Here is a 25,686-nt window from a genome sequence, read left to right as displayed (position 1 = left end):
CTTGGACAGTATTTTATAAACCACAAACAAAGAGCCAAAGCCCCAAGTACAAGCAGTAGAATAAACCTTAAAAACCGATAACATTTCTTAGGTGTTAGCCACAGAAGTTATCTTTAATGATCCATAAGGGAATTGTATACAATAGTCAAAGCTCTTGAATTCATACACACATATCCTTCCATTTGAAAGAGCAAACTAAACAATGCTAATTATGTTAGACTGAGACAGTTGTTTTGAAATACCAAGAATAGAACCTTTTCTATGGTTCCTACAATTTTATTACTCTGATGTATTAGTTTTTTAATTACAAAATTGGCAAAGAGCAGTGGACAATATTTGGTTTGCTGGTTTTGTCCCAAGGCAAATTTTATAATTTTCTTCGAAAAGGAAAGCTTCTCTTTCAAAGAATTATCCCATCAACAAGTCATGAACCATTTTATACATCATTAATTGCAACACAGCTCAGAAACTATCAAAGTGTGATATATATATATATAAATAACGGTTTCAGCATGGCTCATATGTTTATAGAGCATCATTCATTGGAAAATGTTCTTACATCTTACCAATATCTTCTACACAGCAAGCTTGTAAAAATTAGATAATTATATTCTGCCTGTGTCAAAGAAGATTCTGAATGACATTACCAATAATAATCAACTATTCCTTCCAATCTCAAAGTCAAAGGTGGACTCTCAGTTAGGATTCCCCTTATTTAAGCTTTTCATGTATCTGAGGTTGACATTTCATAGCTCTTTTAAGCACAAATATAGTATCCCCTAGTATTAGCTCCAACAAGTAATTAGCTCAGAGGGACACCTCCCCCATTATTCTAAAGAATAAATTGGGGGGAGGTGCCAAGATGGCCGAATAGGAACTGCTCCGGTCTACAGCTCCCAGCGTGACCGACGCAGAAGACCGGTGATTTCTGCATTTCCATCTGAGGTACCGGGTTCATCTCACTAGGGAGTGCCAGACAGTGGGCGCAGGCCAGTGGGTGCGCGCACGGTGCGCGAGCCGAAGCAGGGCGAGGCATTGCCTCACCTGGGAAGCGCAAGGGGTCAGGGAGTTCCCTTTCCGAGTCAAAGAAAGGGGTGACGGACGCACCTGGAAAATCGGGTCACTCCCACCCGAATATTGCGCTTTTCAGACCGGCTTAAGAAACGGCACACCACGAGACTATATCCCACACCTGGCTCTGAGGGTCCTACGCCCACGGAATCTCGCTGATTGCTAGCACAGCAGTCTGTGATCAAACTGCAAGGCGGCAGCGAGGCTGGGGGAGGGGCGCCCGCCATTGCCCAGGCTTGCTTAGGTAAACAAAGCAGCCAGGAAGCTCGAACTGGGTGGAGCCCACCACAGCTCAAGGAGGCCTGCCTGCCTCTGTAGCCTCCACCTCTGGGGGCAGGGCACAGACAAACAAAAAGACAGCAGTAACCTCTGCAGACTTAAATGTCCCTGTCTGACAGCTTTGAAGGGAGCAGTGGTTCTCCCAGCACGCAGCTGGAGATCTGAGAACCGGCAGACTGCCTCTTCAAGTGGGTCCCTGACCCCTGACCCCTGAGCAGCCTAACTGGGAGGCACCCCCCAGCAGGGGCACACTGACACCTCACACGGCAGGGTATTCCAACAGACCTGCAGCTGAGGGTCCTGTCTGTTAGAAGGAAAACTAACAAACAGAAAGGACATCCACACCAAAAACCCCTCTGTACATCACCATCATCAAAGACCAAAAGTAGATAAAACCACAAAGATGGGGAAAAAACAGAACAGAAAAACTGGAAGCTCTAAAAATCAGAGTGCCTCTCCTCCTCCAAAGGAACGCAGCTCCTCACCAGCAACAGAACAAAGCTGGATGGAGAATGACTTTGACGAGCTGAGAGAAGAAGGCTTCAGACGATCAAATTACTCTGAGCTACAGGAGGACATTCAAACCAAAGGCAAAGAAGTTGAAAACTTTGAAAAAAATTTAGAAGAATGTATAACTAGAATAACCAATACAGAGAAGTGCTTAAAGGAGCTGATGGAGCTGAAAACCAAGGCTCGAGAACTATGTGAAGAATGCAGAAGCCTCAGGAGCTGATGCGATCAACTGGAAGAAAGGGTGTCAGCAATGGAAGATGAAATGAATGAAATGAAGCGAGAAGGGAAGTTTAGAGAAAAAAGAATAAAAAGAAATGAGCAAAGCCTCCAAGAAATATGGGACTATGTGAAAAGACCAAATCTACGTCTGATTGGTGTATCTGAAAGTGACAGGGAGAATGGAACCAAGTTGGAAAACACTCTGCAGGATATTATCCAGGAGAACTTCCCCAATCTAGCAAGGCAGGCCAATGTTCAGATTCAGGAAATACAGAGAACGCCACAAAGATACTCCTCGAGAAGAGCAACTCCAAGACACATAATTGTCAGATTCACCAAAGTTGAAATGAAGGAAAAAATGCTAAGGGCAGCCAGAGAGAAAGGTCGGGTTACCCTCAAAGGGAAGCCCATCAGACTAACAGCAGATCTCTCGGCAGAAACCCTACAAGCCAGAAGAGAGTGGGGGCCAATATTCAACATTCTTAAAGAAAAGAATTTTCAACCCAGAATTTCATATCCAGCCAAGCTAAGCTTCATAAGTGAAGGAGAAATAAAATACTTTACAGACAAGCAAATGCTGAGAGATTTTGTCACCACCAGACCTGCCCTAAAAGAGCTCCTGAAGGAAGCGCTAAACATGGAAAGGAACAACCAGTACCAGCCGCTGCAAATTCATGCCAAAATGTAAAGACCATCGAGACTAGGAAGAAACTGCATCAACTAACGAGCAAAATCACCAGCTAACATCATAATGACAGGATCACATTCACACATAACAATATTAACTTTAAATTTAAATGGACTAAATTCTCCAATTAAAAGACACAGACTGGCAAATTGGATAAAGAGTCAAGACCCATCAGTGTGCTGTATTCAGGAGACCCATCTCATGTGCAGAGACACACATAGGCTCAAAATAAAAGGATGGAGGAACATCTACCAAGCAAATGGAAAACAAAAAAAGGCAGGGGTTGCATTCCTAGTCTCTGATAAAACAGACTTTAAACCAACAAAGATCAAAAGAGACAAAGAAGGCCATTAGATAATGGTAAAGGGATCAATTCAACAAGAAGAGCTAACTATCCTAAATATATATGCACCCAATACAGGAGCACCCAGATTCATAAAGCAAGTCCTGAGTGACCTACAAAGAGACTTAGACGCCCACACAATAATAATGGGAGACTTTAACACCCCACTGTCAACATTAGACAGATCAACGAGACAGAAAGTCAACAAGGATACCCAGGAACTGAACTCAGCTCTGCACCAAGCGGACCTAATAGACATCTACAGAACTCTCCACCCCAAATCAACAGAATATACATTTTTTTCAGCACCACACCACACCTATTCCAAAACTGACCACATACTTGGAAGTAAAGCTCTCCTCAGTAAATGTAAAAGAACAGAAATTATAACAAACTATCTCTCAGACCACAGTGCAATCAAACTAGAACTCAGGATTAAGAATCTCACTCAAAGCCGCTCAACTACATGGAAATTGAACAACCTGCTCCTGAATGACTACTGGGTACATAACGAAATGAAGGCAGAAATAAAGATGTTCTTTGAAACCAACGAGAACAAAGACACCACATACCAGAATCTCTGGGACACATTCAAAGCAGTGTGTAGAGGGAAATTTATAGCACTAAATGCCCACAAGAGAAAGCAGGAAAGATCCAAAATTGACACCCGAACATCACAATTAAAAGAACTAGAAAAGCAAGAGCAAACACATTCAAAAGCTAGCAGAAGGCAAGAAATAACTAAAATCAGAGCAGAACTGAAGGAAATAGAGACACAAAAAACCCTTCAAAAAATCAATGAATCCAGGAGCTGGTTTTTTGAAAGGATCAACAAAATTGATAGACCACTAGCAAGACTAATAAAGAAAAAAAGAGAGAAGAATCAAATAGATGCAATAAAAAATGATAAAGGGGATATCACCACCGATCCCACAGAAATACAAACTACCATCAGAGAATACTACAAACACCTCTATGCAAATAAACTAGAAAATCTAGAAGAAACGGATAAATTCCTTGACACATACACTCTCCCAAGACTAAACCAGGAAGAAGTTGAATCTCTGAATAGACCAATAACAGGAGCTGAAATTGTGGCAATAATCAATAGCTTACCAACCAAAAAGAGTCCAGGACCAGATGGATTCACAGCCGAATTCTACCAGAGGTACAAGGAGGAACTGGTACCATTCCTTCTGAAACTATTCCAATCAATAGAAAAAGAGGGAATCCTCCCTAACTCATTTTATGAGGCCAGCATCATTCTGATACCAAAGCCGGGCAGAGACAGAACAAAAAAAGAGAATTTTAGGCCAATATCCTTGATGAACATTGATGCAAAAATCATCAATAAAATACTGGCAAACCGAATCCAGCAGCACATCAAAAAGCTTATCCACCATGATCAAGTGGGCTTCATCCCTGGGATGCAAGGCTGGTTCAATATACGCAAATCAATAAATGTAATCCAGCATATAAACAGAACCAAAGACAAAATCCACATGATTATCTCAATAGATGCAGAAAAAGCCTTTGACAAAATTCAACAACCCTTCATGCTAAAAACTCTCAATAAATTAGGTATTGATGGGACGTATTTCAAAATAATAAGAGCTATCTATGACAAACCCACAGCCTATATCATACTGAATGGGCAAAAACTGGAAGCATTCCCTTTGAAAACTGGCACAAGACAGGGATGCCCTCCCTCACCACTCCTATTCAACATAGTGTTGGAAGTTCTGGCCAGGGCGATTAGGCAGGAGAAGGAAATAAAGGGTATTCAATTAGGAAAAGGGGAAGTCAAATTGTCCCTGTTTGCAGATGACATGATTGTATATCTAGAAAACCCCATTGTCTCAGCCCAAAATCTCCTTAAGCTGATAAGCAACTTCAGCAAAGTCTCAGGAGACAAAATCAATGTACAAAAATCACAAGCATTCTTATACACCAACAACAGACAGAGAGCCAAATCATGAGTGAACTCCCATTCACAATTGCTTCAAAGAGAATAAAATACCAAGGAATCCAACTTACAAGGGATGTGAAGGACCTCTTCAAGGAGAACTACAAACCACTGCTCATGGAAATAAAAGAGGATACAAACAAATGGAAGAACATTCCATGCTCATGGGTAGGAAGAATCAATATCATGAAAATGGCCATACTGCCCAAGGTAATTTACAGATTCAATGCCATCCCCATCATGCTACCAATGACTTTCTTCACAGAATTGGAAAAAACTACTTTAAAGTTCATATGGAACCAAAAAAGAGCCCACATCGCCAAGTCAATCCTAAGCCAAAAGAACAAAGCTGGAGGCATCACACTACCTGACTTCAAACTTTACTACAAGGCTACAGTAACCAAAACAGCATGGTACTGGTACCAAAACAGAGATATAGATCAATGGAACAGAACAGAGCCCTCAGAAATAACGCCGCATACCTACAACTGTCTGATCTTTGACAAACCTGAGAAAAACAAGAAATGGGGAAAGGATTCCCTATTTAATAAATGGTGCTGGGAAAACTGGCTAGCCATATGTAGAAAGCTGAAACTGGATCCCTTCCTTACACCTTATACAAAAATCAATTCAAGATGGATTAAAGATTTAAATGTTAGACCTAAAACCATAAAAACCCTAGAAGAAAACCTAGGCATTACCATTCAGGACATAGGCATGGGCAAGGACCATGTCCAAAACACCAAAAGCAATGGCAACAAAAGACAAAATTGACAAATGGGATCTAATTAAACTAAAGAGCTTCTGCACAGCAAAAGAAACTACCATCAGAGTGAATAGGCAACCTACAAAATGGGAGAAAATTTTCACAACCTACTCATCTGACAAAGGGCTAATATCCAGAATCTACAATGAACTCAACCAAATTTACAAGAAAAAAACAAACAACCCCATCAAAAAGTGGGCGAAGGATATGAACAGACACTTCTCAAAAGAAGACATTTATGCAGCCAAAAAACACATGAAAAAATGCTCATCATCACTGGCCATCAGATAAATGCAAATCAAAACCACAATGAGATACCATCTCACACCAGTTAGAATGGCAATCATTAAAAAGTCAGGAAACAACAGGTGCTGGAGAGGATGTGGAGAAATAGGAACACTTTTACATTGTTGGTGGGACTGTAAACTAGTTCAACCATTGTGGAAGTCAGTGTGGCGATTCCTCAGGGATCTAGAACTAGAAATACCATTTGACCCAGCCATCCCATTACTGGGTATATACCCAAAGGACTATAAATCATGCTGCTATAAAGACACATGCACACGTATGTTTATTGCAGCATTATTCACAATAGCAAAGACTTGGAAGCAACCCAAATGTCCAACAATAATAGACTGGATTAAGAAAATGTGGCACATATACACCATGGAATACTATGCAGCCATAAAAAATGATGAGTTCATGTCCTTTGTAGGGACATGGATGAAATTGGAAATCATCATTCTCAGTAAACTATCGCAAGAACAAAAAACCAAACACCGCATATTCTCACTCATAGGTGGGAATTGAACAATGAGATCACATGGACACAGGAAGGGGAATATCACACTCTGGGGACTGTGGTGGGGTGGGGGGAGGGGGGAGGGATAGCATTGGGCGATATACCTAATGCTAGATGACGAGTTAGTGGGTGCAGCGCACCAGCATGGCACATGTATACATATGTAACTAACCTGCACAATGTGCACATGTACCCTAAAACTTAAAGTATAATAAAAAAAAAAGAAAAAAAAAAAGAATAAATTGAATTTTAAAACCATGATAGGTTGTTGAAGAAGTTATTGTGCACAAGACTCAGTTCAGGGTTTGAAGGTATTTGATAAGATAGTTGACACAACATCAATTTTAAAATCATAAAAAATAGACTGTCATCTCAATGGGATGTCAGAGTACAAATGACCTTCTCAGGAAAAGAAGCATGGCTCCAGCTAGTGCTGAAATGAATGGTGGAAAAAACAGATTGGATCTTTCTGGTACAACTGTTGTTACACATTCCTCAAAACCTCCAAGTTGGCTAAAAAGGCACCGTTGACTTTCACCAAAGCATCTGAGGCTTCCAATGGAATGATTTCAGAAAAATCTGTTAATTTAGATTAATACCTATTAATCTCTTCAATACCTGTTAATAAGCATACACAATTCCCTCATTAACTGACTGGAGTGCCCATCCTGAACATATTAAACCATAATAAAGGTACTATGAAAAGGATCTCATGCTTGTTAGTGCCACATCCAAAAATCCTTCTTATCAATCAGCTGCATAAAGCAGTGACTCTTTAACTTACAAGAATAATCTTGTTTCTGAAGGAGTCATTATTAATTGCTTTAAAAGCCAGGTCTAGTATTTAGAAGTTTCTTTACTGATCATTCATTGCTTAAGCATTGTTTGCTCCATATATGCTTCCTATCCCCACCACCAATGAAACGTCAAGCTCTTTGCAGGCAGGTGCCATGTCACTCATCATTCTATTCCCCCGATAATGCTCAGCTCATCAGCTTTTACATATTTAATTGAACTAACAGTAAATATTAAAGCTTTAACATTTAATTTCTCATTTAGTGGTGCCTCCGTCTCAGAAGTTCTGATTGGAGATTTGAAAAATCATTTTCAAAATTAAAACTTGAGTCCAGTTTTTAGGGGGGAAAAGCATGTAACACAAACCAAGAAACAGTGATGATTTATTATTTGCAGATACACACAGAAAATGCAGAAATCACTTTATATAGTTAAGTCTCTCTCTTTGCAAAGATGTCATGGCTTTCCAGGATAATATTTATATTTCTGTGGCTTGTATTCTACAGTGACTATCAAATTTGGCATTACTACTTGCTCAGAAAGAACAAGCCCTCACAGCTATTTTAAAAATCACTGTAAATGAGCTTTTCCCAAGGACAGAGTAGGTTAAAAACTTTATATGGGTCTAGGGAAACTCATTCACCATCTTTATAAAAGGACTGATCCTCAAAACTTATATCAATTTAGAATAGATTTGTCATAAGGGGTGACATGGCTATGTGCCAATAGCAGCCCTTCCTGCTTCTAATGGGATAAACTGAAGCAAACAGAAACAAAATTCTATTTTATAGCAAAGATTCAAATTAGTTTTGGAGTATCTTTCAATAATAACAAATAATGCCTAATTTAATAACAAAATAACTATTATAAAAGATTTCATAATTTTTATCTGTATCTGAAATAGTTCCTCAGTGTTTTCAAGATTAAGTATTGATTGCACAATTAGCATTATTTCCCATCCTTTTCAGTATTTTTAATAAAAGATTATGTTGGAAACACAATTTCCAAAATCTCAGGAGAGAAGTTACTCTATGTTGAGATTAATTAAACTGCACCTTTGTCTTCTCTTTAAAAAGTTCCATGGCAGGAGTTTAATAAGGAAAATTTTTAAACTTTTATGATTTTTTAAAAAGGAACTTTACCACAATCTTGGAGATTGTCAATGATGTCACAAATCAAGGTTGAGAATCACAGTCTTACACCCACCCCCCAACACACACTCATACACAACAGAACTAGAATTCAGTTTCATGTGAAGAATAGGTCATATTCCAAAAATAGACAAACAGTTTCTAGGTTACTATTCAGGAGTTAGTTTTTTTTTTAATCCTTTCTTCCTCTTCTCTGAACCCTCTATCATATGTGTTAATAAAAAGAAATAATCATATCCCATGATCCTATGACTCACCATAGGATTTACTGACAGAAGACATGGCCTGGGCCAGGCTCACCCTTAAAGACCTGATCTATCACGGGCCTCTTCTCCATAGAAGAACAGGTTGTTTGTTAACAAATGCACACTAATCCCCTGTTGGGCTCCTCCTTTACTTCTCCTTCCAGTGAACTGGCATTCCTTTGAGCATCGTGATAGATAAAGATGCTTTCAAAGACATTTCAATATTCTCTAGGAGCAATGGACGAAATTAGTAGTTGAGAGAAAGTCCAACTCGGGAATAAGAAGAATTCTGAAGCAATGACTGGGATAGGTAATGCCCAAGGAGCCATTCAACATAGCATGTTATTGGAAGCTTTGCTGAGAACTGTAGCATTAATCCAACCAAGTGACCAGTGTCATCTGTGCCTGCCAAAAGAAACATGCACCTCTGGTTAAATAAACCAGAAATCCAGGAGAAAAGAGGTTAAGTACCAAGCCATTGGCGTCAAGAATTAAAAAAAAAAAAAGTCTAGGATACAAAGAGGTAAGAACCCCAAGATAATTACTATTTCCATTGTGAGGAGTATCAAAACTTCTTCATTGATCATTGTTGTCATAACCCTCCAATATGTATCAGGATGGTGTTTAGGGTCAAGAGTAGCCCAAGTCCTCTAGCTCTCACTATTTCAGAGCTGGGAACTGGACTGTCTGGCATACCTGAGGCTAAACCTGAGGTACAGAGTAAGGACTCAGACCTGCTTTGAGGTCTGCACTTTGGCCACTATAAAGAGCTGAAGACAGAAAATGAGAAAGCAAGTGACAGTGGATACTTCTAGATTCCTCTAGATTTCCATACTCCTTCCCTGATCTTGTTTGATGTCACCTTCTGCATTCTAAGATGTTAAGTATATCCACATAGGTAGCACTATAGAGTTGTTAACTTCTAGCATTAAGTATGATACTCCTACCTTAAAATCTGATGGAGAGAAAAGGATCCTATAAAGAAAAGGCAGTGGCTCCTGTCCTAAGGTGGCTCCTGCCTTAGGCTATCTCTGGTATTACTTGAGAATTGGAGCACAGAGTCCCAGGAAATAATTGAGAAACATATGAAGAGATAAAATAGCTACTGAATACATGAAGGATGAGAGAGTAGTGGTAACAGCAAAGTGGGGTAATTTACTAGTCTTTTGATTATTAACCAAGAAAGGGGGTTTATTTATTTTTGCAAGCCTAGACAATTAAATAATGAGATGCCTATAAACATGTGTATAGAAAAGATGACTCTTGTTCTAAGTGGATGAGGCAAGGCTAAAATTGCTAGGACCCAGAAAAAAAAATAGGCCCCTAAAAGCCTGGAAATATTTACTGTCCATTAAATCTCCTCTAATATTATATAGCATTTCCTGTCACTTTTCCTACTTAGCTAGAGTCTCTTAGAAACAGGAAATACATAATTGTTATGTCTTCTGTATATAAGCCTCTATGATAAACACAAAGGACACATAAAGGAAACTCTAGTAGCCTAATCTTACTGGAGATGGAGGACTCACAGTTTCAAACATCCAATAAACATGCAATTCTATTGATTACTCATTTTAGTTCAGGCATCATATCTCTGGCTGGTACTAGGGACACAATAATGAACAAGTAACATAGTGCAGCTAAAAGAGCACAATATAAAAGATTGGAGACACAATTAAATAAAATTGTATGTGCTGTGAAAACATACTGCATGCTATGAGAACTTATATTAAGGGAATGTTCCTTTGGGATAAAAACATGTCTTTCCAGGGAAGGTGATATCTAATCTAGTTTGGAAAAATGCTTGAAAGTCAAGTACAGAATGACAGATCACAGGCATTCAACTAACTTTAATAGACTCTTTTGCTAAAGAACTTCATATGAAGGATAGCATTGTGGGAAAGGCCTTCCAAAAAGATCCACTTGTGATGGGATTTGAAACATATGCAGTAATTTATAAGCAGAATGCATGATTAAAGACCAAGCTGAATAACGTAATCCAGATAACTCCTTCCATTTTATAGCCAATTACAGCTTGCTTCTATTGATGACCAGTGAGGTGTTAGGTCTTGAATTGGGCTTTGAAAAACAGGTAAATTTAACAAGGGTAAAGAAACATTCTAGGCCAGATGAACACAACAAGTAAAGAGCTGGCAAAAGGGATTGATATGATGTATGTGAATGACAGAATAGCTTGTAAGGAGGGGGAGATTTGTTGGTTAAATTAGCTAGAATCCGTGCAGATGGCCTTAAGGGCCGTGGTGGCAAGATTGCACTTGATGTAGTAGCAGCAGCAACCATTGTCTGGTGCTGTATGCTTGTCTCTATTTCAGTTTTGTGAACTATGCCTGGGACCTGCCATGTTACCAGGCCTGCAAATTCCAAATCTGGCATGGAAAGGGATATGGTCAGGAACTGAGTATTTTAGTGGAGCAATAGGTTAGGTAATAGACCCATGTCTGAAAGAGGCAATGAGGAAAATGTGCAGACCTAAAACATTTATTTCTATTTGGATGAACCTTAAAACTGACCACATGATATATATTCTCTGAGATTCCCTGAATGTAACAGAAAGACTCCACATATTCTGATAAAATTGGAAAAAAAAGTACACTCAAGTTACTGAGCTAAAATAAATAATTTTCATTCCATACATTATTCTGATATTAATCTTAAATAAAGGAAAATCCAGTCTAAACATAAAATGTTTCAAATCAAGTAAAGGAAAGCATTATCTGAAGAGAGAGAATGGCCAAGGGCTTATCCAAAAGTCACCCACAAAGCTTCTGTTAACACTTAGTTCTAATAAATAAATTTCCTAACATTAACCCTTTCCACATCACTTTCCTATTAGCATAGACAAATGAGATCAAAAATCATATGGACAAATCTGACTTTCAATCTAGTTTTCTCTAAGGAATTCAATCACTCAGAAAATATTGAGATTTGTTTTTCTGTATAATTTCACTTCTAAAGTTTTTAAAGTCTATTATTCTAATTCATAGCACATATTTTCTATGAAATTAATAACCAGCTTTTACACCATCTAGATTTTGAAATTTTATTTCAGCATCTGGTGCCTTCCATTTAGCTTCTGATACTGTTTAATGAAATGAAGATTCACCAGGTCTACTGCCAATGTTTGTCTACATCTGTGAATTAATTACCCTAAGCGTGGCCTAGGTCATTTTATGCTATTAAAAGCTGCTGCCTCCCCTTTGGGTTTTCCTGCAGATTTCACGAAACCACGTGGCTACTGAGAGGTCCTTTGAATTGGTAATTTTCTTATTAAATTGCCATGTTTAGTTTATAGAAACATTTCACTCATTTAAGCCATTCATTTACTCACTTAGCCAACATTTGTTAAGTAGATACGGGGAATAGGTGCTCAACTATTTATGAAGTACAAGAGACTTTTTAAAATGCCTCCATTGGAGTGTCTCAACTAATGGGTCTAGATACAGAAAAGTGTGTTTAAAGTGTCCAGCAACTATCCTAGTGCTGTGAGAATTCAGCTGTACCAAATTCAGAAGTTAGTTGTATACCTTAAGTTTACTGAGGTCCAGCAAACCACCTAACAATATAAGGAAGTAGAATAGAGTTATCTTATTCAGTATCAAAGTAAAAGGGCCAGGCACGGTGGCTCACACCTGTAATCCCAGCACTTTGGGAGGCCAAGGTGGGGGGATCACCTGAGGTCAGGAGTTCGAGATCAGCCTGGCCAACATGGTGAAACCCCATCTCTACTAAAAATACGAAAAATTAGCCAGGCATGGTGGTGCGCACCTGTAACCCCATCTACTCAGGAGGCTGAGGCAGGAAAATCGCTTGAACCCAGGAGGCAGAGGTTGCAGTGAGCCGAGATCACACCACTGTGCTCCAGCCTGGGAGATGGAGCAAGACTCTGTCGAAAGAAAAGAAAAGAAAAGAAAAGAAAAGAGAAGAGAAGAGAAGAGAAGAGAAGAGAAGAGAAGAGAGAAAAGAAAAGAGAAAAGAAAAGAGAAAAGAGAAAAGAGAAGAGAAGAGAAGAGAAGAGAAAAGAAAAGAAAAGAAAAGAAAAGAAAAGAAAGAAAGAAAGGAAAGAAAGAAAGGAAAGAAAGGAAAGAAAGGAAAGAAAGGAAAGAAAAAGGAAAGAAAGGAAAGAAAGGAAAGAAAGAAAGGAAAGAAAGAAAGAAAGAAAGAAAGAAAGAAAGAAAGAAAGAAAGAAAGAAAGAAAGAAAGAAAATCAAAGTAAAAATTCAATATTTGGTCATAATTGAGTTAAAAAATACATAGAAAAACAAAACCTCTTTAGGAAATTTCCTTAGAACCAAAAGTAGTCATAACCCAATTATGTTCAGAAATCACCACTTTCCTCAACCTCTTAATAGAAAACAAGAGGAATCCATCTTAAGGAAGGTATCCACTTAGTCAACATCTTAGCAGCCAATGATAGGTAAATAAACTATTAAGAAAGTTGGTCCAAATCAGTTGGGCATCTTCATGAAGGTACATATTGATTCAAGAGTAAAGAATTTTAAGGAATTTCTTCCAAAAGGTAGCTCTACTCCCAATTGATAGATATTTACTGATTGATCAATTATTGATACTAAATTCTGATATGCATATTTGAAATAAAAATTTATATATCTTATTACATAAGAATCCAACACAAAGTACATGATATAAAGTTCTGCTTATTCCATTTCCCTACATTTAGTACCATCTATTCGTTCTATCAGCAGACAATGTACTTAGGAGATACTGCAATGAAGCTCACCTTTCCTTATCATTTCTAATCAAAATTCTTCCTATTCTTAAAGGCGTGCATCCTGATGCCTGTCCTGACCATTTAGTCAAAGTGACCTCTTTGAGATGGAGTCTCTGTCTCCCAGGCTGGATGGCACGATCTAGGCTCACTACAACTTCTGCCTCCTGGGTTCAAGCGATTCTCCTGCCTCAGCCTCCCAAGTAGCTGGGATTACAGGCGTGCACCACCATGCCTAGCTAATTTTTGTATTTTCAGTAGAGACAGGGTTTTGCCATGTTGGCCAGGCTGGTCTCAAATTCATGACCTCTGGTGATCTGCTCACCTCAGCCTCCCAAAGTGCTGTGATTACAGGCATGAGCCACTGTGCCTGGCCAAAAGTGATCTCTTTCTGAACTTTCAGAGCACTTATTTGATACGTATGGTGCCAAATTCATTTGAACAGAATAATTTTGTCCCCATTACAATATAGGATGACCTATCATGACTTTAAGACTGAAATGACTAGATTAATCAATGCCTTTGGAAATATGTAGTAGAGTAATTGACTTGTTTTGCTGTTTTATCTTATAATATTAAGACAGATGTTCTATCTTCCCACAAAGATTGTAAACCTTAGAGGACATGAACTGCATACTATACTACTTTATAAAATCTCCACAGTTCCTGGTACAGTATGCTACTTAGAGTTGGTATTCAATAGATGATGATAACTAAAAATAAGATATATTAAATACTCATTATTAGTGTTTTCAGTGCCTGGTATATTATTGGCTTTGTTTTGTTTACTACAATATCTTCAATAGCTAAAACCAGACAAACCAAATAGTAGATACCAATAGACTAGCCTATCCAACAGAACTTTCTGCACTGAAGGAAAGAGACAAAGAAAGGGGCTTTAAATTTTACTGGCAGGCATATATTCTCTAATAGAGAAAATACAGGGTAGTGTGCACCAACCAGGAAAACTTGGTGATAACTTTTTTTTTTTTTTTGAGACAGAGTCTCGCTCTGTCACCCAAGCTGAAGTTCTGTGGTGTGACCTTGATTCACTGCAACCTCTGCCTCCCAGGTTTAAGTGACTCTCCTGCCTCAGCCTCCCAAGTATCTGGGATTACAGGTGCCTGCCACCATGCCCGGCTCATTTTTTGTATTTTTAGCAGAGACGGGGTTTCACCATGTTGGCCAGGTTGGTCTCAAACTCTCAGGAGATCTCTCAGGAGATCTGCCTGCCTCGGGTTCTCAAAGTGCTGGGATTACAGGCATCAGCCACCATGCCTGGCCCCTATTGTTTTAATCACAGCTGGTCAATCTTGAGTTTGGTTGCGGCTGGGCGTCCTCTCACCCATATCTCTCACTCCATACCTCCTGAATTTCATAAAAGAAGCTTCCCCAGCAGCTCATCCAATTTAAAGACAAGTCAAAATTAGCTCTTCATTAGCAAGAGTTAGACAAAGTAAAAATAAGTCCACTTCAGAGACAGGCTTACCCTTCTGGTTTCTTCACTCCATGTACTCTCCACATCCTCCCTCCCAACTCACTCCTACCTCCCCCAACAAGTAGATGAAGCTCTTTTCTCAGAAGATAATCTTTCCAGTTCTGAATTATAATGTATGATTTAAAGGTATCATTAGACCACACAATACCACCCTTGAGATCTTTTTCAGTTACAAAGTTGAGGAAGGATCACATGTCCTCAGTATTCATGGCTATACCTGTATAAAGTGTGAAGCTAAATATGTGCAGCAATTGAACAGAACATATTCTAATCATAGGGTCCTGAACAAGAAACCTAAATGTGATCATGTTCTGCAGGTATATTACAAGACTTATGGAAGATCCGCTGGATTGGCATTTGATACGGCTTGCATGGAAACAAATCCCATTTTCTAACCCATTCTTGATTTTGTTTGATGGTTTAAGTCCTACATACCATTTTAAAAGCAGAACTAGGCGAGCTAGAAAGTAAATCCCCAAACTCTCTGAAAGTAGTGTATAACCTGCAGCTCATAAATCTCTGTGGAGTCACAGAGTTATCATAAGCAGTTAAAAATGCTCAATAAACCACACTAAGCAATCATTCTAGTTTAAATTAAAAACACACCTTGACCATTTATGTCTTGTTTTTCAAATGTATATAAAAGATGTTGTGATTCCAGATACATTAAATTATGAATTTATTGTTATTTTATTAACAGATATTAACATTACAATCATACTGTAAAAGATATGCAACCAATACTTCAGGACTCCCAGGTATTATGCGGTCTAATGATGCCTGTCAATCACACATTATAATCGGAACTGGAAAGATTACCTTCTGAGAAAACACAGTTTCATCTACTTCGGGAGGTGGGAGTGAGTGTGGAGGGAGGATATGGAGTGAAGAAACTGGAAGGGAAAGCCTGCCTGTGAAGTGGACTCCCACAGCCTTGGCCCAAATTGTGCCACTTCTTTTTGGAAATGAGAGCATCTAGCTTTCACCTTTCCTTCTGCGAAGTAGCGATTACTAAAAAAGAAAAAGAAGGAAGAAGAAGGAGAGAAAAGAAAAGAAAGACAAGAATTTTTTTAAAAAAGGAAGAGAGCAGAGAAGAGAGAAAAGAAGAAAACAGAAGAGACAGTGAAGTAAGTGAAGGACGGGCAAAGAAAGGGGAGGGAGTGAGAAAGGGAGGGAAAGAGGGAGGTGGAAAAGGAGGGGATAGAGAGGACAGGAAGAAATGGAAAGGTGAAAATTGATTATGATAAGTTTTTCAATTACATTTACATGTAGATATACTGTAAAATTTGATGTTGAGAACATAATCTAATTTTTAATTTAGTGGTTTGGTTGTGGAGAAGGATTTATATGGATTTAGCTGAGTAGTAGTGAGTAAAACTCACTGTTTGTCAGAGAGAGAGATGCAGCTTTAAAAGGTATCATGTGCCTGTTCATTCTTTCAAATCTAGATAAATGACAAAAATACATGACAATGGTGAATGAGAATAATCACTAGTCAATTTGAAGAGCCACCTACTCTAAATTCTGTACACCCTTTTTATAAAATTCATCTATCACAAATGAAAAACAAAAGAAACTAAAGCACATAACTGAGTCATTATGGCATATGCAGTTTTTATTTGATTCTAAAAATAATAGTTGATTATAGTATGTATGATGATAGACATTCCCTAATAGGAATTAAAAGTATTCATTTTAATTCAACCTCTATTCATTTTTAATTAGGACTGCTTGCAATGAAATGAGTTAATGAAGTAAAACATAAAACAAATTAAAGTTAGACTTAGAATCTAAACATCCAAGAAGGTTTTCAGATACCAGGAAGAGTTCCATGAATAACCAGGTTCTATCTGGAATTTTCCATTCCTGAAGGAAGATGAGATTACCTGGTAAACTATAGAATTCATCTAAATCTTTCTTATGGGTCTTAAGATAAATTAGTGATGAAACTAGCAACCATGAACTTAAACCACCAAAACAGCCTTACCAATGAGATGTGCAAGTAGGTCACAGCCCTTGCCTCAAGCTACTCTTGCATTAGCAATCGATCACTCCGGATTATTAATTGATAGGTAATCTATATTAATTTCTTAAAATTTCTGAGTCTCAGTTTCCTCAGCTGTAAAATTAGAATAATACATATTTTCTAGGATGTCTTTGAAGATTAAATACAACTTCATATACATTTATATACATTTGTATGAATACTCATGCATACACATTTGACAAAGTGAAAGGAAAGGCATCCAATAAATGTAGTTATTGTAATTAATAGCAACCAAATAATTTTAGTACAGCATTCTAGGTGTTACAGTAGAAACATGTACAATGTACTACAGTGGCACATAGGAGAAAACAATCTTCTGCCTGAAGTGGAGAATAGGCTGCTAAAGGCTCACCGAGAGCAACTCTAGGACTCAAAGGATAAGCATGACTCGATCAGGTGGCCAAAGTGGGAAATAGTATGTTATTCCAAAGGAACAGCATGTGCAAAGAAAACCATGGAGACATGAAAAAGCATGGTAGAATCATGGAAGGCAAGTGGTTGGGTATTGCAGAATGAGAAGAAATTTATTTTTTTATTTTTTTTATTTTTTGAGACGGAGTCTCGCTCTGTCGCCCAGGCTGGAGTGCAGTGGTGCAATCTCGGCTCACTGCAAGCTCCACCTCCCGGGTTCATGCCATTCTCCCGCCTCAGCCTCCCGAGTAGCTGGGACTACAGGCACCCACCACCACGCCCAGCTAATTTCTTTTTGTATTTTTAGTAGAGACGGGGTTTCACCATGTTAGCCAGGAGGGTTTTGATCTCCTGAGCTCATGATCAGCCCATCTTGGCCTCCCAAAGTGCTGGCATTACAGGTGTGAGCCACCACGCCCGGCCAAAATTTAGATTTTTGAAAGCAAACTACAAATACTTTTTAAATGCCTTTATTATAAACATGGTTATGGCACTTGAGACAGTGGTGAATGACACTAATTTGGTTTCTGCCCTCATGGAGCTTACAGTCTAGCATAGAAGATCGATACAAACAAACAATTATAAATAATAACTGCAAGCATACAAAGTGCTATGGAGGTTGGCTAACATTTATGAAGAATGTACTGTGCAGGCCAGGCGCAGTGGCTCACGCCTGTAATCCCAGGACTTTGGGGGGCTGAGGCGGGCAGATCACAAGGTCAGATGATTGACACCATCCTGGCTAACATGATGAAACCCCGTCTCTACTAAAAATACAAAAAATTAGCCGGGCATGGTGGCAGGCACCTGTAGTCCCAGCTACTTGGGAGGCTGAGGCAGGAGAATGGCGTGAACCCGGGAGGTAGAACTTGCAGTTAACTGAGATCTTGCCACTGCACTCCAGCCTGGATGACAGAGAGATACTCCGTCTCAAAAAAAAAAAAAAAAAAAAATTACTGTGCAAAACACTTTACATAGGCTAAAAAAAACTGTCCTCATTTTACAGAAATTTGAGACATGAAAAGGTTAAGAAATATGGGTGGTTTGAATCAAAAACAAGCACTTTTAACTACTATGCAATACTATCTCTAGAAAAATACACTGCCCGATGAATGACGAACTGAAGAGGAAGAAAACTGAAAACAGATAGTATTGCAAAAGTACAAGCAAGCTAAGAGCAGATAGATTTCAGGTGCTCTTGCCATTAAAAAAAAAAAAAAGGAAGAAGAGAAATAACCATGTGAGAAGATAGATATGTTACTTTACTAGATTATTGTAATCACTTTCCTAAGCATATCAAAGCATCATGGAATAGAACTAAGATGTAGTAAGAATAAGAGAAGAAAATAGATTCATGAGATATTGAAGTAAAATTTATATCACAAGTGGCTAATGTAGAAGGAAAGAGAACACCTAACACATTGCCACCAAAAAGACCAGACTACCAAGCACTTTTGTAATTTAAGATCTATTCAATTCTCACCAAAGAGAAAAGATGTAGGATTTCATTTCTACTCATTGCCACTCCCTAACTCAAGCTCAGCTTCAACACATACCTTCTTGTGGCAAGGGTAACAAAATATCATTACACAGGGGGCAATAAATTATTTTACCTATTTAAAGAGAACCCTGTGAAAAACTTGGATAAAAAAAGAATTCTGGAATCTCTGAACTATTTCAACAAAGGAACAAAAAGCCCAAATTCACTTTTCATTTTGCATATATATGGTACTCATTTGGTCCTAAGAATATCTTGATGCTATATACAAAAAAATGATGCTTACTGAATTCACAATCTGCTACTTACAAATTAAAATTAATTAGCAGATGGCCAGCTTACCAAATGATCAGTGTACAATTTCAGACCAATCTTCAGAAAAAAACTTTTGAGGTATTACTTGAATAAGCCATCTAACTGGTAACCAAATACTAAAATTATTAACAATCAGCACTACTCAGACAAACAAATTGGTCTTTATATACACTTAGGGCTGCAGAATTCTATATAGTTCTAATACCTTGGCATGTAAATGATTTTCAATTTAGATTTAAAATCCCAATATGAAAAATTTGAAGAGTAAAATACAGAATATTCCATCCTTTGGCATTTTGGTCAAGATTGTTTAAGAAAACGAAGTCAAAATAAAAATCCTAAAAGTGTGGTTTTCACTTAAGCTATATAAGTGAAATAATAAATGAACATTCTTACCCATAATGCACTCACTATAGTTAGAAATACGTATCAAACTAATATGTGAAATGTTAATTTGGATAGATTGCTCTTTTAATTAATGTGATTACTGTGCTTGTGTCATCACCAATTCTAATGACACTGGGCTGAGAATTCAGCGGGGTCTAAGGCTGAAATGATCAGGAGGGAAGGCAGAGGGGAACAACTGAGTTATAAAAGTCTGCCAGTCGAATCACAGAAGTAAGGAAGAGAGAGAGAGTCCAGAAACCAGGAAGTGGAATTAAGGTCAGAAATCATGCAGTAGCTGATGAGTGCACCTCTCACACATTTCAGTCTTGGGACCCCTTTACACTCTTGAAAATTCCTGAGTATCCCAAAGAGCTTTGATTTATGGGGGTTATGTCCATTGATATTTACCATCTAATATATTAAAACTGATAAAATTCCAAAATATGTATTAATTCATTTAAAATCAATAAAACAAATATATTAACATAAGTAACATATTTATGAAAAAAACTATATTTTCCAAAATAAAAAATATTTAGCAAGAAGAGGGTCATTGTTTTACATTTCTGCAAATCTCTTTAATGTTAGACTTACTACAAGACAACTGGATTCTCCTCTCTCTCTTTCTGCATTTAATCTGTTTCTATATCACATCTTGTATAACCTCGGGATACTCATAAGAGAATGGAGAGTTCCAAAGGCAAATAATGGCTCTGAATTACTATGAAAATACTTTTAACTTCATAGACTCCCTTGAAAGGGTCTTGAGGACCCCCAGGGGTCCCAGGACCACACTTTGAAAATGACTGCATTATACAGACATATTTTAAAAAGTGGCAGACAAAGATGATTTGCAGACAAGCATAAAAGCATAGCCCATAAGCAGGGTTGCTCAGTTTGTACACCTATAAATTCTGGTATTCAACAGATCTAGAATTGCAATGGGGCCAAGCCTACAGAGACAGTTGTCCATTATCCTATTTCCAAATGTAAATATAGAATCAACTCAATAGAATCTCCTCCAGGTGATCATGAAATTGTAACCACCAGCAGGGAAAAAAAAAGAAACTGCTTTTGCATGCATAAAACAAAGACTGTACTGACAAGCCAATAATAAAATCTATGGAAATAATTACACAATCAAGATTAGGTCATGGCTTCACTTCATTACAGATAATTATGGTAAGATAATAGAAAGCACTGCTGAGGGACAGCCCTCTTTCCTGAAGAGCTATAAAAATAAAGTGGATACCCACATATTTAGAATAAAGATATTCCTTTCTGGAGACAGCGCATGGACCAAAATCCTCCTCCAGACTTATAAGTCCCTCTGAGCATGTTTATCCCACTAAATGGGCTCTGATCATCTAACGATTCCCCCTTTACACACTTTTCTACTTCATGCACAATAACTGCTCTAAATATTCTCCATTTGCAGTTTGTTTTTTCTCCTTAATCCTTCTGTTTTCAATGGTCTTTTGTTCCATTTCCAGCCTTACTCTTATTTGTTTCATCAATTACATTCACTCTTCCCTACCACTTTCCATACACCTACGTGTGAGCTTATATTTTAAAATACAAAAATCTTGTGCATTTTAGAGACAATAGTAACCCAAACTATGAATAAGCTAAAAGAAGAGGGGGGCAAAAAACAATGGCTTCAAATGACAAAAATAATTTGAAATAGACACTTGTACACTACTTTGAGGACAAAAGCGTTTTCAAGTGATCTCAATACTTCATGTTCTGCTTGTATCATCAACACCCACTTGTTCTCTCTCAATCTATAGGCCCTTGGGGAGGGAAAAACAATGATGAATCGAAACCTGTCCTGGATGAATACACATAAACGTCTTGGTGAAGATACCAACAAAATAAGAAGGTGGGAAATAAGGCCTTTCATCTTAGAAAAAGAAGATATCAGGGAACAGAGTTTAATTCTTGTATAATACAGTCAGTTAAAGCTCTCTAAATCAGCCAAGGGCTGTAGCTAAGCAACATGATTCTTCACTTGCTCAAAAAGGGGGCTGCCAAGCATCCGTAGCCTCATTTCTCACTGAAAGCTTTGACAACTTTCCACCATATTTTATATAATTGTAGCAGAGGGAGTGCCAGATTAGATCTGATTTGCTGTCATAATGGGATTTTTTTCCCACATAAGTTAATGATGCAAAGCTATATTTAACCCCCAAAAAGTCACCCTCAGGCACTCACTGTATATTCTGATTGCCTCTCATATCTAGAATTGGACAAGTAGCAATTTTTCTGCTACTGAATATGACAAAAGCAAAGGTTTAATAGGTAGGTTTTTTCCCCCTGATTGGCTCCATTATAAATTTAGCTACATATTCCAAATCTGTTCACTAACTTCATATTTCATCAGATGTTCTCCCACTGAGTTGAAAAGATCAAGAAAGTCTGGTACTTTGAGTTCACATCCTTTGGTGTATGCAAGTCAATTCTCTCGCCCCAGCCTACTCTTGCCCTGCCCTGCATATGCTGCAGATCACCCACCTTCAAACTCAGCCTCACCCTGATCCCGAGGTCACAGAGAAGCTTCAAAGCATTTTGCATGTTTGTATTTAGCAAGGGTTAGAGTCCATAACATATATTTTCATATTACAATTTAGAATAATATATTATCATAAATGTAGTGAATCCTCTGAATCCTCTTGTCATCCCTGTGCATGGTAAGCTGCCATCCTCCATATTCACCTCTGTTATATTCCCACATTCCGATTTGTGTTCTAATTCTCTACTAGGAGTAGGTCCCTTCCATTAACACCAGCCTTTTAATTGATGCCCAGATAACGTGTACAGACAGAGAGGCAGTCTATTCACCTTGGATGGTCAGGTAGCTCTCTCCTTTGTACATTCTAATTCAAATATTTCAAAGGTCCTAACATTAGAGCAACAGATTCAAGAAAGTTGGGGACACAATCCAGTGACATAGATTGTATAAAAGCAGTGTCATTCAGGAGCAGACTCCAAACACCATGACCCCATTCTAGCTGGAAAATTGATTTATCTCCTACTCTAAAGTATCTGATTCCTTGATAAGCAGAAGAGGCAAATTAGATTATTTTTAAAAATCAATGGTGCTTCCTATAATATTGCCTCCTTTCTGGCTCAGATTATCCCAGATTTGCAATCGAAGGTCAGCTAAACATTTTTTGGCTTTTTCATCTCACTTTCATCAAAATGTATCAGTCTTGCATTAACAACCTAAAAGTGCTTAAGGGGTAACTGGACATCAACTCCTATAAGCTAGCTTGAATGAACGTGGCAATGCTGAATAATAGTTTGCTTTATCATTATCACAGAGAAAAATCAGAAAATCTCACCTTTGGCAAGCACAAGCACATATAAAGTGAGAATTTAAAGTATTACCAGTACAAGGACAATGAGAGTATTCTTTCGGATGGAAACATCTTTTAGTGGTTCCCTTTAGAGTATACTAGGTATAAAATCTTAACACTACAGAAAAATTTAGAGGTATCTAGTCCAAACATATAGCCAATATCGCATGCAGTTTTAACGAGCTCCACAAAATTGTCATGTGGTACCTTTCACTGTTGAAAATACCAAAGTCTACAACATCCTCTCCAGGTGGTCATCCCTGCAAGGTGTGACTGAATAACCGTGACATTCAAATTTATAATCTACTATTTTAAAATGTGCCTTTTTCATTTTTAAAAAAATCTGATTATTAAAAAGTTCCAGTTACATTGAGGTAAACAGAGCCTTCTGCAGTTCCTGTTGTTTTACCAGTAAGTCACAGACTAGCCCCTGTATTCCTTGAGAAAAAGTAAAAATATCCATATAATAGCTATTTTGATATTTGAAGACAGTTATCACATCACCCACGAGTCTTCTATTTCCTGGAAAAACATTCTCAATTTCTTTGATTCTTCAAAAAGTAAGGTTTCAAAGTCCTTCGTAATACAAATTTTCTCTTCTGGAGTGTTTCCACTTTATCTACACACATTTTAATGTATGAGAACTGAAAACTGTCATACCATTTTAGGTATTTTCTGCTAAGTTCTGAATACAGTTGAAATATAAGCCTCTCCAGATATAGAGAACAACCTCAGACTATGTTGGCTTTTGCTATGGTTCTGCAGCCACACCATACTGTTGACTTATTTTCAACTTTCAATTATCCTCCCAAATATCATTCACATGTGATCAAACCAAACCACATCATTCTTCCTATGATCAGAAAGATAGGAATTTTGATTCACATTCAGGATCTTATCTTTGTTCTGATTAACTTTCATTGTGATGCAGTTGTCCATTTCTCTACCCCGCAATATCTTTTTAGTCACTGATTTTAACTTTGAATGAATTTGTTATTCTTAACTATGTGTCTTCTATATCATTATTCAAAGAATAGATGAACATTCTGGCAAGCACAAAGCCCCACATAAAGCCCTATAACAAACGACCATAACCTTCACTGAAAGTTCATATCAGTCCATTCAATCACTTCCTAATATATAGCCTTAGACTTAAACAAATCCAGGGCCTATGGGAACTTCAATTCCTCTCCTACTGAGAAGGATGCTGGATTTTCACAGCAATTACTTTATGAAATGCCAAAGCACCATGTCTAAAGTGACACCTGGTACAGGATAATATCCCATCATCTCTCCTACCCAATTTCCAAGGTTAAATGTAGTTTGTAATCTAAAATACCCCATACATCCTCATGTCTAATCCTAAATGAATTCATCTGGTTACATGTTTCCTAGAAAATAAGAAGGATATGATTGTAGTAAAACAAAAATAGGCCTAGAATCAGATAAATCTGGATTCTAATCCCAGTTTTACCAAATACTATTTGTATGATTATAAATAAGTTATTTAACCTGTCTTGGCCTAGCTTTCTCATCAGTAAAATAGAGGCTTTAAAGATTAAAGAAATGCATATAAAGCACAAAGACCAATTCTTGACCCAAACCAAGCACTACCAAGTAGTTGCAGCCATCGTTAGTGTTAAAATTAATAAGAAGATTTTTAGATTTTGATAAAAATCTATTGAGTGGAAACAACAGAAAAAGTAAAATTTATCCAGTCTTTACTGTGAATCCATCCACTTCCTACTGTAACCTTCAATTTTGGGGTTATTTGCGTTAGTAATCCTCCCTATGATCCACAAAGGAAAAGGGAGTCCCTAAATATAGCGATGAATCTGCCACCTCCTCACAGGTATGCTCAAGGTTCTTCAAATTGTCTTTCTCCATCGTCTTCTTCCCAGCTCCATACAAGTTCTAGATAGAGACACCACCAACATTTATAAGATAGACAGATTTTTCTTTTGAGGTTGCATATGCCCTCTTGCCTTTAATCTACCCTCCTCTTACAAACTGCGAGCTAGCTTATACAAATCATCTTTTTTTTTTTTTTTTTGACATTGAGTCTCGCTCTGTCACCCAGGCTGGAGTGCAGTGGCACGATCTCAGCTCACTGTAAACCCCGCCTCCGGGGTTCATACCATTCTGCTACCTCAGCCTCCCGAGTAGCTGGGATTTTAGGCACCTGCCACCACAACCGAATAATTTTTTGTATTTTTTTTTAGTAGAGACGGGGTTTCACCGTGTTAGCCAGGATGGTTTCCATCTCCTGACCTCGTGATCCGTCTGCCTTGGCCTCCCAAAGTGCTGGGATTACAGGCGTGAGCCACCACGCCCGGCCTACAAATCATCTTGTACACATTTCCACAGTAATAAATTTCACTTCTCAAAACTAAAGGGGCTCACATTCAGGGGGAAAAAAACATTGGCTGCTTCTTACCAAGCCTCTACTCATCTACTCCATACATGCCAGAAAGCCTTTCTTACAATCATCACTTTTCTCTATATCCCCAAGTGCTTACTAATCCTTAAACCATACTGGAGAACCTGTTTATTTTCTTTAAAATATATAATGAACATCATTCTACA

General features: G+C 38.0%; 1 protein-coding gene across 2 annotated transcripts in view, besides 1 other annotated feature; it reads right to left on the bottom strand.

Annotated features, from left to right (window-relative positions):
* The window catches only part of GPR158 (G protein-coupled receptor 158), a 427,229-nt gene that overhangs the window by 348,042 nt on the left and 53,501 nt on the right, over positions 1-25,686 (bottom strand). The gene's annotated exons all lie outside the window — the stretch shown is intronic.
* Positions 480-1,081: an enhancer, noted in NCBI's record as "H3K27ac-H3K4me1 hESC enhancer chr10:25542036-25542637 (GRCh37/hg19 assembly coordinates)". NCBI's record gives its function as "activates a minimal SCP1, AML or CMV promoter by ChIP-STARR-seq in primed H9 embryonic stem cells {active_cell/tissue: H9 hESC(primed)}" and the evidence as "EXISTENCE:reporter gene assay evidence [ECO:0000049][PMID:30033119]".

The sequence above is a fragment of the Homo sapiens genome, chromosome 10, assembly GCF_000001405.40.
Source record: "Homo sapiens chromosome 10, GRCh38.p14 Primary Assembly".
NCBI lineage: Eukaryota > Metazoa > Chordata > Mammalia > Primates > Hominidae > Homo > Homo sapiens.
This window is presented reverse-complemented; position numbering and strand designations above follow the sequence as displayed.